The sequence below is a fragment of the Homo sapiens genome, chromosome 12, assembly GCF_000001405.40.
Source record: "Homo sapiens chromosome 12, GRCh38.p14 Primary Assembly".
Taxonomy (NCBI): Eukaryota; Metazoa; Chordata; class Mammalia; order Primates; family Hominidae; genus Homo; species Homo sapiens.
Window position 1 is genome coordinate 16,231,345 of NC_000012.12, and position 17,206 is coordinate 16,248,550.

The window sequence follows — 17,206 nt, forward strand, 5'->3', positions numbered from 1 at the left end:
GAGAAAGAGAAAACAATGGTGGACAAAAATTGAAAAAAATGTAGAAATTGGAAAGAGAAGTGATAACTGATTTAGAAAAATAAATGAGGGAGCTACAATCTAAACTGACAGCTGAGTGAGAGACTGAAGAAGCATGACCCTAATCCTCCTAATCCCCTGAGGAATCATTTAGAAGCTCATGACTTGAAGGCACCAGGTATTTCAGAAGGTGGGGTAACACTCAGAAGGAAAACTGCAAGGACTGGTTGAAAGTCTGTGCACTGAACAGTGAAATTGTCAAGTCTCCAATTCTATCCCCATGAAACAAGGTGAGTATGTGTTCCATCTCCTCCTCTGGTAAGAGACTGGAGATTACTTTTCAGAATTTAAATAGGTGTGACTTTGGATTCAGAGAAGGCTGAGGCTGAAAATGGAAAATGGGTAAAAACTAAGATTTTGAATGATGAGACATCCTCCATTCCTATCTGCACACAGCCACACCTCACCTTCAGCACTAGGAAGTATGCCTCAAAGCAGGAGGCTGAAGAAATCTTCTCTCAATAAGCTGAATAACTCCATTAAAAGATTGCTGCATATAATAGCTGGGGGGAGATTCTCATAATAATATGACTGGTTCCCTTGCCAAATGGCATTCTACAGAGAAACCCCATAAGTCTCACTTATGTACAAAGTCATATCATCCTGAGTAATACTATTATTTTACAATCTATAAGAATAGATATCCCAAGATCACCAGACATTGGAGAAAAGCTTCCCATGTGAAAAACAAGGAGACAAGCAAACAGGAAGTGGGGGTAATCTGTAGTTAATGCAATCAATAATAAGTAGCTATGAAAAAAGAATAATAAGAAATCTTAGAAACCAAATATGACTTCTGAAATACAAAACTCAGCAGAAAATTTGCAGGATGAAGTCAAAGAAATTTCCAAAACAAATAGAGAAACAACAAACCAAAAAAGGCAATAACAATAAAAATCAAACAAACACATTTATAGATTTGAAGAGAAAATATTGAGACTTACTGAGTTATTTTAGGAAGGTCCAACATCTGATCAATAGGAGTTCAAAAGGAAATACAAAGAAAATGGAAGAAAGGAAACTTTTTTTAAAAATAAAATTTTTCTAATTGAAAGAGCCCACCTGGGTCAAAAGTACAATGGTTGAAAAAGACCTTTACCAAAGTACAATAAGATGAAATTTTAGAACACCATGGAAAGAGAGAAGAGCTTTCCGTTTAGGAAAAAAAGATTGTAACACAAGGATAAGCATCAGAAAAGCAATGGACTTCTGGCCAGGTGCAGCAGCTTGTAGCTGTAATCCCAGCACTTTGGGAGGCCGAGGTGGGAGGATCACTTGAGGCCAGGAGTTCAAGACCAGCCTGGGCAACATGACATAACCCCATCTCTACTAAAAATACCAAAATTAACTGGGTGTGGTGGCACATAACTGTAATCCCAGCTACTCGGGAGGCTGAGGCACAAGAATTGCTTGAACCAAGGAGGTGGAGGTTGCAGTGAGCCAAGATCATGCCACTGCACTTTAGCCTGAGCTACAGAGCTAGACTCTGTCTAAAAAAGAAAAAAAGAAAGAGAGAGAGAGAGGAAGAAAGAAAGAAGGAAAGAAAGAAAGAAGAAAGAGAGGGAGGGAGGGAGGGAAGGAAGGAGAAAGAAAGAAAGGAAGAAAAGCACTAGACCTCTCAACAGTAATTTAAGTTGCTTTCTTTGGTTTTCTTTCAGAATTTGAATTCTGTGAGTACCTTCTAAGATACCCCTTATCCTGACTAATTTGAGGTAATTTAGATTTTACAACTATCATGCACTTTTATTTTTTTGATTGTTACTTGTGCTATGTAAAAATGCTTATATTTTATGAAGGAAAGTTTATGGCATTACCAGCAAAAGTTTAGACAAGCATCACTATTTTTTTTCTCTGTAAAAGGCCAGTAATAAGTACTTCAGACTTTGTGAGAAAAACAACAAAATTGAGGATAAGTAGGTACTTACGTAACAAGAGAGAAATAAATTTCTATGATTTTTAAAATTGATAAAATTTAAAATTATTTCTTTTGGAAGGGTGATGCAATTTCAATTAATTAGAGTTTAAAGGTGTTTTCTATTATCAAATCAGTTGCAAATGTTCATCTGTGTAAACCATTCTTACCATGCAGGTCATACAAAAACAGACGGTGGGCCAGATTTGGCCCATGAGCTGTAGTGATTGGCTAACCCCTGGTTTAGTCATCCGCTTTTATTACCTGTTACTGAACTTTCGTTCTGGCCTAGAGAGAAATTGTGGCATTTTACCTGGGCCACTGCTGCCTATACACATGCATGAAACTTGAGAGAGCCGTCTTTTGGGCCACTTTCTTTGTCTTTGATACTGAAAGTGTCCTCCCTGACCAGTAGTGTAGGTATCACCTGGGGGCTTGTTAGACATGCAGAATCTCAGGCTCTGCTCCGGAACTACTGACTCAGAATCTGCATTTAAACTAGGTCTCTAGATGATTCTTATACAAATTAAACTATGAGAAGCACTGCTCAAGCATATAACACTGTCAGGCCTGATCTAGCAAAATCCAATGAAAGACTGTTCTCCAGAAAATTTCAAGCAAAGCACACATATTTAGTTTATTGTCTTAGTTTGCTTGTGCTGTTATTCAAAAAAAGTGTGAGACTGAGTAATTTATAAAGAATAGAAATTTCTTTTCTCACAGTTCTAAAAGCTGGAAAATTCAAGGACAAGGTGCTGGTAGGGTTGGTTGTCTGGGGAGGGCTGCTTTCTGCTTCCAAGATGGCACGTTCCACATGGCAGAAGGTAGAAGAGCAAATGAAATGAATTCTATCAAGACCTTTTATAAGAGCACCTAATCCCATTTATGACAGTGGAACACTGATGACTCACTCTCCTCCCAAAACCAACACCTCCCAATACTGTTGTACTGGGGATAAATTTCAACATGAATTTTGGAGGGAACAAAAACATACAAACCATAGCACTCTTACCTAGGTATTTTAGGGCAAAGCATATTTTAGAGTATTTAAGGATCTATGTTTGCTTCTTATTTGCTACTGCACTCTGGTGCCAATGAAAACTAACTTTCTTAAAATTTAAAGCAAACTTTGATTCCGACCTAAATTTAATCCACTCCATTTTTAATTCTTAACTTGTATGAGATAATAACACACCCAAAGCAGAGTGCAGTTTATCAGAATGTACACATTTTAAACCTCTAGCAGATCTGTACTTACAAGATAAAGCACAATGGTTGCATAGGAGATATTATATTCAGATAAATAATGTGTGTTTTAATACTGCCTGTGTGGTTGCAGACAAGTCCACAAGAGTCTTGAAGTTCTTATAATTTATGCTATTATTGAACCATGTAATAATTTTCCAAATTAGTCTACAATGAAATAAAAGACATTCCGAATTTATTGAAACATTAGGGTTGCACTTGTGATTTCATAATGAAGCTGAACTTATACTAAAAAAGTGGGCATGTTAAGATTCTTTAGGTATTGGTATAAGATTCTTTAGGTATAAATTTATTTGCTGAGAAAACTATGGGTTTCTATGTGTAGTGTGATGTTTGAGTTTCTGATATGTAAGCTCACAGCCTTAAGTATGAAATTCTATGGAGTCCTTGAGAAATTCCCTTTGGATCCATGATTTTGGCAAATTCCCAGGATAGGAAATTTGCTCAGTGTTAATATATCATTCAGTGTTCATGAACTACTCTCATAAAGACAGCTATAATTTTATTGTCTTATGTATCTGCTGCCTTTGGGGAAGATATTTGTCACTCACTTTTTAGGGTGGCATATGTTTTTTATTTTTATTGTTTTCCCCTATTTGTGGCATGTTTTTATACATAATATATACAAAACACGACATGTTATAAGTATATATGTGTATATATATGTATATGTATATATATGTATATATGTATATGTATATGTATATATATGTATATATGTATATGTATATGTACATATATATGACCTTCTATCTTTTGTTTCTCTGTAGACCATTGGAATTCATTTCAGAAGACCCAGCTTCAGTTTATGTTTTATTTCTGAATGTAGAACAGGTAGTCATTTACATAGAGATAAAATATGCAAATGTATCTCTATAAGGCATCAGTTATTTGCTTCAGATTGCATATTAGATGATCTACCTCACCTCTGATTTAATTCCAACTTGATGTTACATTTAAGAATTGAGAATACTAATGTGCTTATATCAAACAAATGTGCAACCGAATGAATGACTTATTCAGGCTAGATGTTTACAATTCATGGTTTACTTCTTTTGGTGTTTACGCAGTTCCTCCTATCAAGTATTTTACAATGGGTACATACCATGATGTTTCTTGGGAAAATATATCAGTTTGAAAGCTGTATCAAAAAAGAATTTTCCCTGAGATAATTGTACTTGCAATGAAAATAACTGGATCCTTGACTTGGCTTTTAGCTTAGCAACCACTTTGGTTTCAACCACAAAAAGAACTTTATACAACTGCAAGTTATTAGAACTAGTTGAGGTTACTGGTTATGTATACAGGGACCTACACTGACTGTGACTATATCATAAAAGACTTTTAGCTGGAACTTGAATTTTCATGTTTTTATTTTAAAGAAAAAAGGTATTGCAGTTATGTGAATATATTTCATCTACATTTAAATTTAAATGTTATTTAAAAGCCAAGATAATTGCTACCTACTGTGTTGTACACTTCTGCTTTGTGTAAGCCTTAATAACAATCTTAATTAGGCTGATTTTGGTCAGATTAATACTTGTGTGTGTCAGCACTAACTACTGAATGCTCCATACTGCAGGATTTTAATTAATGCTAAGGAAAGGAAATACTCATAGTGTAAACATTTGTGAACTAAAAAAAATATAAAATGAAGTAAACCCAATTATGATAGAAGATAAATTACAATAATATCATTAGTTCTGGATTTGTAGTGAATTAAGGTTGACTTAACCAGATAAATCCACACAAGTGTAATATTAAGAAAATGCAGCCCTTGATAAAACACTCTGAGCCTATGAAGTCTTTGCCTTTCACAGTCTTGGAAGACTTAGAGGTTTTTCTTTTTAATAGTTGGAGACCCTGACATATTTCTTGACCTCCATAGGTGATGAACTCAGGAATGTTGCATCTTGAATCAGAAACACCTTTGTTATTGCATTGTTTATGAGCTAGATAAAAAAGTAAGTTGATTTTTTCTTTATAAATTTCTAGTTTGACCAGCTGGGTAAGATTTCCCCATCTCTCACTCTTGGTCTGGGCTGTGATTTTGCATGTAAAACATTAGGCATTGTCATTGACTTTACCATCTGCCTCCTTAAACATGACAGTCCCTGGAAGGAGAATACGAATACCTGGATGTGGAAGGGCATGTGACAGTATAAGGAGTAACTGCCCATTGTGATGACAAAAGGAGTTTTTCAGGTATTTCATGGCACTAACTGGAAATATCAATAAGGATGCCAAGCTAACATCAATACATTAACTTCTATAATCTAACAGCTACGTTTAGCCGCTAAGCAGAATAGTAATAGTAATAATGATAAAGTTATGCCCTTAAAATTAGAAAACCTGTTCAAATGACACTATCTTTGTGACCCTGATCTATTAAATGATGGTTTATCATGAGATTAAATGTAATATGTGTATGAAGGTTCCTAAATTCAAATTAGGAACTCACAAATATATGTTCATTCATAATTCATATACCTATATACTTCACCCACATTTTCAGGCACTTGAGTTCAAAGTGAAAGGTAACTTTAATATTAGACTAATTCAGTTATGTAAATTAGTATCAAAAAGTACCCCAGGTTGGTACTTTTATGTCCTGATAAAACTTGTTAATCTTTCATAATCATAACCAGAATATGGAAAACTTAAGCAAATATCTAGTTTAAAAGACGCATATCATCGCACTTTTATATTCCCATAGCAAAACGTTATGCAAATAAACGTACAAGTATGCAAATCAATGAATGAATGGAGTGGGGTTCAGAAACAACTGAAATCAGTATTCTGTACCCAGTGGAACGTAGCTTAGTTTCTTTTGAAGTGAGTCTAGTTTTTCCTTTTTCCTGTGCAATAGGTCTTGTTACCAATCTTGAAGGGGAATATTTAATTCATTAACAACATCAAACAATATACTAAATAACTCTGTCTAACTTTTCTAAATCCAGAAAAAAAGTACTCTTCTTTAGGAAGAGATGTGATTTCAAATATGCAGGAGTAGAGAATTGTCCAAAAGAAAGTTGCTTAACTTTAAAGTTAATTTAAGATTTCTTATTCTCAGGAAGAATTTATTTTAGCCATGTTGTATAGAATATTTTTCTAGGGTACCCAAAATTTTAAAATTTGTGGTAATTAAGCATGATTTGGAAGCTCAGATTGGGGTGTTTCATGACACTGTACAAAACTGCTGAGATTTTTGGCATTTCACAATATGATTTTACTCCTATTTTGTCCTGCATGCATTATGTTTCAATCATGGACTTGCTGAAGGTATATACAAACCATGTCTTACTTTTCCTTTTTTATCTTTATTTTACTGCTAATCCTGGACATTCACCAAATATGTGCTGGCTTTTGGATTTCTACATTGGCAGACAGAAAAGCACTTTTTAAGTCTTAAGGATTATCAAAACCTAAAGATTTATAGTTTGCTAAAGCCTATTACAATAAATAAAGATGGGGTTACTGGCTTAAGAAATACATCTCAAAAGGTTATATACTAAAGTCCTCCTCTATAATTGAAGATGATAAAATAAACTAAGGTGAGTTTAGTCACTTTTAGTTCTAACCAAAAATAAACCCACTCCATGATGTGATCTTGAGTGATCTGGTAGATAAAGAACAGGAAACACACACAATGAAATGTAACTTCTGTAAACAGAGAAGCAACAAAAAATACCTGTGACTAGAAGATTCCGCCATAGTCTCCTAAGTCTCTTAATAAGAACAGGTTGGCCGGGCGTGGTGGCTCACACCTGTCATCCCAGCACTTTGGGAGGCCGAGGCGGGCGGATCACGAGGTCAGGAGATTGAGACCATCCTGGCTTACACAGTGAAACCCCGTCTCTACTAAAAATGCAAAAAAAAATTAGCCAGGCGTGGTGGTGGGCACTTGTAGTCCCAGCTACTCGGGAGGCTGAGGCAGGAGAATGGCGTGAACCCGGGAGGAAGAGGTTGTAGTGAGCCGAGATAGCGCCACTGCACTCCAGCCTGGGCGACAGAGCGAGACTCCGTCTCAAAAAAAAAAAAAAAAAATAAGAACAGGTTAACCGAGAGAAGAGAATCTTCTATATGCCTGACCTTGACTATTTCAATAGAATTGTTTCTCAAGTAGAGGATAAGACATTAGGTTACCATTGCATGATATTACTTAAGAATTTCAAACTTCCTTTGCTTTCTGTTTATGCTCACCAAACAATTAAATGTGTCCCCTGCACATAATGACTCATAATAATAGCTAACATTTATAGAGCTTTTGCTATGTGTCTGGACTACGTTCTGGGCACTGATGTCATCCTGAGTGATTTCAAAAGTTTTAGAGAACAAAATGATCCAAAATTTATCTAGGGTATGTCCCTCAATGAAAAAAATAAGCAAACTAAAACAAGGAAGTTTCAGTGGCTTTTTCAAAGTCACCAGGAGCAGTTCAATGTCAGAGTTCTCTGATTCTTAGATTGAAACTTGTTTTACTGTACCCCCACTGTTCTCTTGTTCCCTGATGGTGTCGAAGGAAGACAGGCAGAGGAGAATATGATCAGAATGGACTTCCATCCTTCTCTCCCATTTCAATCAGATAAATTTCATTTTATGTCCTATTGATTATGTTCTGAGAATGATATCCTAAATTGCACTATTTGATAAAGTACTGTATTGAAGCTGTAACTTACAATACTAATCCTTAATCAATTTTGTTACCGATTCAGAAATTAAAATGATCTTTTGGAATTAATTAACTGTTTATTTTTAAGAACCTATTTGACATAGACTTAAGGGGTAAGGACTGCCTGACTTTAAGGATAGGTCATTTGGTAGTGCTGGAAATTTCACCATCTCTTTATATCAGGTGTGTCTTCTGAGGAGACATAAACATAAAAGGATAGGAAGAAGATGGGACACATGTCTGGCTAGAGATTTCGGAAGATGGGTGTTATCAGTCACAAATTCACCTGTTTTCCATATTATCAAAATCTGACACTACTCAGGAGCATATAGCTAGTTCGGATCTTAGCAGAATGTTGTTTTAAAAAAGTTTCAAACGATTCGCATGAAATGGTTAAATTGTACTTACTGATGCATGTTGACAGAAATGATCCAACTCTCTTAGAGGGAAACAGGCAGGTGCTGAAATACTCCAGAAAAGGAGCCAGAATTAGTAATGGTAGGCTGCTGATGGCATTCATTACTGCAATCGGCAGAAGAAATCCATCCAAATTCAGGTTGGAATTCATAGTTTGCAGATAATATCCTGAAGGAATCTGTATTCGAGAGGGAAACATCCATGCATTAAGACAGGGGTTTAACTTTGAAGAAAGCATCGTCCACCAGAGGCCTACCCTCTTGCACGTACTCTGTGATGGATGAGCTGGATGTTGCCTAGTTTTTCAAGTTCCCAGTTATGAGCTGATAAAGGGTCTTCATCTGTGGTGGTAGGAGCTCTGTCTAGTCTATTGACAATAGTACTCATTACTCATGAAATACTCTATCATCATTTAGTCTCTCTTAATTTTTCTATGAAAAGTAATGATGGCCCCAATTTTGTGCTTAAGATGACACATAAAAAGCCAAATAACTTAAATTCTGTAGATAAGCAAAATGACTTTTCTTCATGAACACTAATATAAAACCAGTAAAAAATACTAAAGACGTCTGTTTTTACCCTGATGAAAAAAATGAGGCTAGAATAGATTCTTTAAAAAGCATCTAGTTTGGTGGCAATATAGAAACGACTTTTTCCTAAGAAGAGGGGCCCAATGTGGACACGTGTTAATTGCTGTAGGCTGTCTTTGAGGGGGCTATTTAGAGAGGCTTTGTTTCCAATGTGAACTAAGTAACAGGGGGAGGAAAAAAAAACCTTGTGTCTTTGCCCTCCCTTCAAACTAATTACGTGATGCTAGAATTCCATAAAGGAAACAACATGAAAAAGGTTTGCATGATAAAGTGAAAGATACAATTTTTTTAAAAAAAAACCCTGTGCTCCACCCCAAATCCTCAATGTATTGTTAGAATTTCTTCATTTTAAAAATAACCCCAATGCTAACTAAAACTCTAACACTGATTTGGAGCCTCTTAGTGTATTCCAATCCTCTTGGCAACCGAGTGTGATATCAGAACCAAGGGATGATGTCACATGAAAGAGGTGTCTCTTCACTTTTCTAGTACATGAGCTTTGTTACAGCTTCATCAGCTTCATCATGATCTTTTTTATTTTTATTTTTTTTGAGACAGAGTCTCGCTCTGTCACCCAGGCTGGAGTGCAGTGGTGTGATCTCGGCTCACGGCAAGCTCCACCTCCCAGGTTCACGCCATTCTCCTGCCTCAGCCTTCCGAGTAGCTGAGACTACAGGCGCCCGCCACCACGCCTGGCTAATTTTTCTGTATTTTTAGTAGAGATGAGGTTTCACCGTGTTAGTCAGGATGGTCTCGATCTCCTGACCTCGTGATCTGCCTGCCTCAGCCTCTCAAAGTGCTGGGATTACAGGTGTGAGCCACCGTGCCCGGCCCATCATGATCTTTAGTAGCGCATAGTATTTCTTTAATTCCCAGTGGTACACAAAGCTATTGAGTGTCATAGACAGAAAGTCAACCAAGTCTTCTTGAGGAATGGATCCTCCAAACTCGTATGGTACAAGAGCTGCATTAGGATCCCTGCTTCACCACCATCCTGGGAGAGCAGCCTCGCTCAAATATCCAGATGATAACTTCTCATTTGAAACATTTGCTAACCCCTTCTCTAGACTCAATTGTACAATTCAAGAGGGTATATATGGAGAATCAGTATTATGGTGTCAGTACAGCTGTTACCAAGTCCACTAATTGTAAAATGAGCCTATTGCCATGTTAACTGCGCAAACACAGGACAAGACCACATTTTCACTGAGATTCTTTCTGTAGACAACGTGTCCTGGTGATCATTTATCTCCCAATCTTTAATTTGACCCTTAGCATAGTAAACAAGGATTGTTTTGGCTGAGTACAGATGGCAAGAGTTAAAGGAACATTAGTTAGTTCTGCCCTACTTCAATAAAATTATTAAGCATGGATCCCCCATCGGAGGAAAATGAATGATGTGTTTTAACAAAAAGTGCTGGCAGCGGAACAACTCTAAGACTGAAAGGCTCCCAGCACAACTTGGAAGTTTCTGTTACTGATTTCAAATGAGAATTATTGTTAATAGGAATAAAGTTATTATCGGCATGAATCACAGACACAGAAATATGTTAACTTAATAATGTGGCAAATGTACTATTAATCTTTAGTGAAGCAATATTAATATATTGCCTAATCTTAGAAAAGGCTGCAGTGTCTTGAAAGCTTGAAATCATTTCTGCCTCTGCCTGAAGTTCTGAAATCATCGCCCTGTAAAATTTTAAATACTTTTATTTCATCCAAGCCTTTGAGTATTCAGAAATAATTGCTGTCAATAGAGATTCATTCTCACCTTTGACTGGCCAGTAATGTCAAATGGCAACCTCATCAGCCGTAATATCAACATATTTTAGATGTATGTCTTGCAACTGAAGGTCAATAATGGCTACTAAATTTAAAATATGTATGAAATTCTATGATGTTTTATTCTTGGTACTTTGATTGCCTTTGTACTGGTGATTATTTCATCTGGGGGCAAAAAACTAAACCCAGCCTATCCTATTGGAAATTCCTCTGCCTCCCTGGTGAAGTATGATCTAAGCATTTTCTTTGAAGTTTCTAGCATAACATTACTGTATATAATTTTGGAATCTATGTAGTTTGTATCAGGGACTTTTAACCCAATGCAAGAGTGATATTGAGGATAATAAAGCATGGCGCTTGACACTAATCCTGAGGTGGGATGTTGCTCTGCCACACATTAGCAAGGTGACTGGGAACAAGTTGCAACTTAGTTTCTGAGCCTCAGATTTAGGAGAGTAATAGCCATGTAGCCTTGCTGTGGGGATTAAATTACGTACTGTGAAGCCATCTTTTAGAAGCTATGGCACTTAATAGGTGATCAGTAACTATTAGTTTCTGTGCTTTGCAATAAGTTGCACATCTAGATTTGGTGATATGCTTAAAAATTAGTTTATCAAAATTTATTGTAATTTATGTTCAATTAAAAAATATATGACAGTGTGCAAAGAAGGGTCCAACTTAGTGGAAAGAAATGTCAGGTGTCATTGCATTATGAAGGTAAGGAACTGGTATTCTGTGCTACTTGCACATAAGCTTTTGAGGTTAGCTATGGGCCATGTAGTAATTTTGTACTGTTTATCGGTTCCTCCAATCTAAGATGTTTTATTATATTAATGCTTACATATATGGGTAATATTTCTGCTGTATTCTGTTTTTGTGCCTACTGCTATTATAGAGTCAAGAGGGAGTTTGAATCTTCTAAATCAGACTAGCTTTCATGCATTATTTAGTCTAGAGGTCAAGAAATTTTCTGTAAAGGGCCAGATAGTAAATATGTCCACATATGGGTTCCGTGGCAATTACTCAACTCTGCTATTTTTGTGCATAAGCAGACATAGATACGACAAAACAAAGAGCATGGCTATGTTCTGATAAAACTTCATTTATGGACGCTAAAATTTAAATTTTATATATTTTTCTTTGCTTTTTCTCTTTTTTTTTTTTTTGAGATGGAGTTTCATTCTTGTTTCCCAGGCTGGAGTACAATGGCATGATCTCTGCTCACCGCAACCTCCGCCTCCTGGGTTCAAGCGATTCTCCAGCCTCAGCCTCCCAAGCAGCTCGGATTACAGGCATGGCCACCACACCTGACTAATTTTGTATTTTTAGTAGAGACGGGGTTTCTCCATTTTGGTAAAGCTGGTTTCGAATTCCCGATCTCAGGTAATCTGCCTGCCTCGGCCTCCCAAAGTGCTGGGATTACAGGTGTAAGCCACCACGCTGGGCTAAATTTTATATAATTTTCATGTGCTAGAAAATACTATTCTTTTTTTAATTTTTTTCAAACATATAAAAATGTAAAAATCTTCTTAGCTTACAGGATGTACAAAAATAGTGGACTGGATTTGGCCTTCAGATAGTGGATGGCTAACCCCTGGTTTAGAGGGGCAAGCACTGTACTGAGAGGCAGAGGACAGATTCCGCTTTCCCTTACACTACTATTAACTGTGACCTACGGTGCCTCACCTCTACCAAAAGAAAGTCACTTAATTTTTCTGAGCCTAAGGTTCCTGTTTAACAAATAAAGTAGTTTATGAAGTTAATCTCTAAATTTTGTTGCAGCTCTATTATTCTATGATTTCTAAATGTAACTCATTCATGAGTCTTCTAAATTCCAAGTTGGGAGTTAGCAATGAACAAAGTCCCAGATTTGTTCAAATACTTTTGTAATCATTTATTTTTCTCAGTAAATAAGTTAGTCTTTAACTCTAACCACATTAAAAAAATTTAAAATCACATATATCTATAAAAGGTACTTTGGGCTTTGTATTTTCTCTTGATTTTCTCACAGCACAGGAACGAATTCCCCAAGGAACTAATAGAGTGGGTGGGGAGAGAATCACTTGCTCATTAGTACTTATATTTAAGAGTACAGTGGAGGTGGTACTCAAATCAGTCAGTTTAGCTACTCGTTAGTACCACTTTCTAAAGGTTTAATGAGGGAGGAAGGCAAAACCTTTGGCTAAAGGGAAGTTTGGTAATTGCCTACAGATCTGATATGTTCGTGCACTGCTCTTACGCCTTACGACTATGCATTCTGAAGTACTGTCTGCACCTACTGACAGACATTTATAGCTCCACAAAAGAAACACATCCCAGGGTCTCCTCAGGTATACCTCTGCCTGACCCCGCTTAGCTCTGGAAATCAGAGCCTGTAATGATGAGAAGTTTCTGTGGGGATAACTGCCTGCCGACATATATGGAAAGCGCTCGTTGGGGAGAAAATTCACCTTGACTTGCACTGTTGACATGCAATCACTTTCCTGTTGTTGGGGTAGTACTCATCGCCTGTCCTTACCTGCATAATGCACATTCTGTATAGGAGCTGAAAAATGAAGAGAGGGAGAAGGGTGAGGAAAAATGTTGTGTCTTCTACATGGAGCTCACTGTAGCAGCCACCATTTTTTTCTTTGGCATGGTCTAACTGGCTTGTCACGTCTCTGCCAAGATGGCAGTATTGCGGGTGGCATGTTTTCAGTGCACTAACCAACACCCCAACGCCTGTCAGGAGAGAACAACCTGCAAGTAATCGGAGATATTATGTATTAGTATAGGAATTGTTCTCCAGTTTTTCAAGATGCTGATCAGAAAGATAACGATTCAAGGATTCACGGCAGTGAAGTGAGAAAGTTTTTAGCACCCAAGGGGTCGGACTCAAAGGACCACGCTTCTGACAGTGATTCTGGCATCCTGATGACCAGCCCATGGTGGCACCTAGCAGTTGATGTCAAAAGTGTAAAAGGTAAGATCAATGAAAACATATTAAAAGGGAAAGAAAGGTGACAAAATAATACGCCAAAGTTAAGGACTTCAGAATCTCTCAGAAGTCTCTAACTTTAATGCATTAATGAATACAATAAACTGAACTTTCTTTAACATCCTTAACACAAAGAACTAGTACTATTTTTTCATATAAATTATTATATAAATAATCCTCATTTTACTTGGCAGGTAGAGGGTGGCTTCTTATTGTGACATGGAGATGAAGGGAAATGTAATCTCTGCTTTGACTTTATCCTTGGATTTAGAAATAAGGTTAGACTATGAACTCTCTAAATGATTTTATGCATGTTGATAGTGTCATTAAGAGTTCAGATTAGATTAGTTGGCTTTTGACTTTTCCAGTAGTTTCTTCTAGGTTTACATGGCTGTTGCTGCACGATCAGAAGCGCTTTATTGCTTCAGATGGCAGCAGTCACTTACTGCTAGTGATTTGCAACCTCATTGTTGCTTCTTTTATGATCTTTTAGTTCCTACCTTTTCTTTGACTCCATTAGGATTTCCTGATACAATGACAGATAAGAGACCCCCGTTTAGGCAGCAGTTCAGCTGTGCTGTCATGATAGTTACAGGTTTTCATAGCACTCCCTTTGACCAGATAAATCCCCCCAGAAATTACGTAGACACCAAACTACTGTTGCCAGGTAAATGGCATAATAAATGTGAAAATGTTTGTGTTTCTCCAAAGAAGGCTGCTATAGAAACTCAAAGTATAGTTTGAAAGTCATTTTGATTATGTTCAAGTTTCCTATAATAAAATTCTAGATAAAATGCATTCTAATGAAATTCATTTATATGCCATAGAGTCTTGGTTTTTATGTTTAAATAAAGAATATGTATTAATATATTTTTATAGCTATAAAGTGGTTAGATTGATTTGATCTGGTCTTTTCTTCAAGAGTTGTAATAGACCCATTATGTCAGCCTTTGATTAATTGAGGAAGCTGGGGGCCTGGTAATTGAATATGGAGCCTTTCACCTCTAAGTCACTGAATCAAATCCAGCCCAAATTGGTAGTGACCAAGAATGATTACAGCTGTGGCTCTTTGGTGGCCTTTGTGAAGTGTGTTTAGGTCATCTGGGAGTATGTTGGGATACTTGCTAACAGGAGATAGGCTTATATCTATGGTCACTTTTGTCTCTTCTTAGTCACTATTGCCTGAAGTAGATGAAGGCCCAGGTACTGGTAAGGCCAAGAAGACAGAAGCCACTGTGAGAGGCCAAGATTTGTTTCTCTTAGGAAAGAAGTAATAGGGACTGCTCTTTATTATTAGAGAATGAACTGCTCTATTATGAGACTTTCCTAGCTATTTCAATTAGTTTACTTAAGGTTTAGGTAAGATGAGAACAGAGAATGTGTTGATGAACAGTCTGGAGACTGAATTCGAACAAGCCTGGGCTGGGTGGCTTAACTTCCTGACATTTCCTTACAATCTTGTCTCTATTACTCATCAACCTGTTCTCTGCTAAACTCTTGCAGAGTGGTGCTGGGTAGATAGTAGGGTTATTATGAACACTGATCCAAATTAACTTTATGCTTTCAGATAGGTTTGATTATTAAATGATAAGTACTTGCAGGATGAAAGATTATTTCCAAAGATATTTTCCCCAGTTTCCCCCCAATTTTTAAAATTCAGGAATTTGTATTAAATATAATATATTTTAAACTCACTAACCGTTTTTTTGTATAAACAATCACTATTTGTTGCAAGATAAACTTGGATCTGCTTCTAATACATGACAAATTGATACCTGCAATCTTATTAAATTATTAAATATTGCCATCATTTTATTTCTAATGAGAGGTAGTGGTAGTTCAGATTAGTGCTTTTCAACCTGTGTTAAAAATGAGTTTTTAAAAAAATATCTCAACTATCGTGGTCAATTCATTTGTGAAATCCAATAAAAATGAAATATCTAAACATAAAATAAAGACATACAAAATATAAGCCCTGATATTTTTATTATTAGATTCAACAGACATAAGATGTCACTGTCCATAAATATTTCTATATGTTTTCTCTTAGTGTCTGTATTTATTTTGTTGTATACTGGCAACAAACAGTTCAGAGACCAGCACTGCTCCATGAACCATGCTTTATGTGAAGCACTGGCTTCAGTTGAATATGTACTTTGAAAAATGAACTTGTTTAAACAAATAAAATTGTATCAGATATAGTGATATGAAGCAACAAAAACAAAATGGTCAAGAAAGAAGAAATGAGAACATATGAATGAGGTCTAAAACTCTAGCTAACACAGCAAGGGCATATAATTGATGCCAAAGAAATGTCATTACAATCATTGATTTATTCCACGTACTTACTGAGAATCTACTAGGAGTCAGAAAACTGTTTTGGGCCCTGAAAATATAGCAGTGAACGGTACCTACAAACTCCTGATTCTTCTTTGTGGTGGGGGAGACCCTAAAAGCAGGAAAATATTAGGCAAGTTCTATGATGAAAACACAGTGGGCTGTTATGATAGAGACCCATTGTGGGGTAGAGGAGACCTCCTAGAGAGTTGACGTATGAACTGAGGATTAAATGACTAGAAACAGGCAAAGAGACGTAGGAAACATATGCCAGGCTTATCATGAAGTAGAAATTAGCCAGGACGGGTTCAGAAAGCATAAAGGCCAATAGGCAGGAGCTCAGTTAGAGGGAAGATTGCGGGGAGATGAGGTCTAGGAGGTTGTCAGGGGGGTCAGATCATATAGCTCAAAGTAAGGAACTTGACGTTTATCTACAATATTATAGAAAACCATTAAGAAGTTTTAAGTATACTAGAGAGATCTTATGATGTATATTTTAAAATAGTTACCCTGGAACCCTAGTAGCTGCATGGATAATGAATTTTAGGGACCTGGGGAACAGGCAAGAGATAGTGGTGACCCAGACTAGTACAGTAGTAGCCATGAAGAGATATGAAGAGAATAGGATGGTTTTTGAACAATCAGTAAAATTTTCTGATGTGGGAAAGGGGTGAAGAAGTGAGAAAATTTGAAGATGTCTACTTTTTTCCCCCTTAAACAGCTGGGTGTTGGTGACTTTATTGAGAGGGAGAAAACAAGAAGCTGGTGTGTAGTTAGCTGAATCAGGAGTTGTGTTTTGGTCAAATTAAGTTTGAGGAATTATTAGATGATAACCAAGTCAATATGTCAAATAAGAAGTAGAATATATGCTTTTCAAGGTCAGGAGAGAGGTCAATATAACATTGAGTGGTGTATTAGATGGCATTAAAAGCCATGAGTCCAGAGATTAGTTAAGGAAAGAGGGCAGGAAGAGAAGATTCAGTGTCCCTGGAATGAATCCTAGGGCTGCACATCCGTTAGGAAGTTATCACAGGAGAAAGGTTGGTTAAGGAGACTGAGAAGAGGTAGACAATGTGCTAGATGGGTTGTAAGAGGGAAAGAAAGTGGTGAAGTAATAAACCTAAGTTGATCAACTGGACTGAGAGAGACCCAGTAAGTCAGCAAGAGAGTCCAAG

At 36.8% G+C, this 17,206-nt stretch overlaps 1 protein-coding gene and 1 long non-coding RNA gene across 2 annotated transcripts in view; one reads left to right on the forward strand and one right to left on the reverse strand.

The window, feature by feature from the left end:
* Positions 1-17,206, forward strand: part of LOC101928362 (uncharacterized) — a 169,017-nt gene that overhangs the window by 123,836 nt on the left and 27,975 nt on the right. The window contains exons 3-5 of the long non-coding RNA XR_001749028.1: positions 1,737-1,790; positions 5,145-5,220; positions 13,487-13,679. This is a non-coding gene — a long non-coding RNA (uncharacterized LOC101928362). The remainder of the gene's footprint in view (positions 1-1,736; positions 1,791-5,144; positions 5,221-13,486; positions 13,680-17,206) is intronic.
* SLC15A5 (solute carrier family 15 member 5) overlaps positions 1-17,206 on the reverse strand; it is an 89,201-nt gene that overhangs the window by 42,860 nt on the left and 29,135 nt on the right. Inside the window, exons 4-5 of the mRNA NM_001170798.1 lie at positions 13,236-13,456; positions 8,337-8,523 (exon numbers count right to left, since the gene is read on the reverse strand). Coding sequence (NP_001164269.1) covers positions 8,337-8,523; positions 13,236-13,456 — 408 coding nt within the window. The remainder of the gene's footprint in view (positions 1-8,336; positions 8,524-13,235; positions 13,457-17,206) is intronic.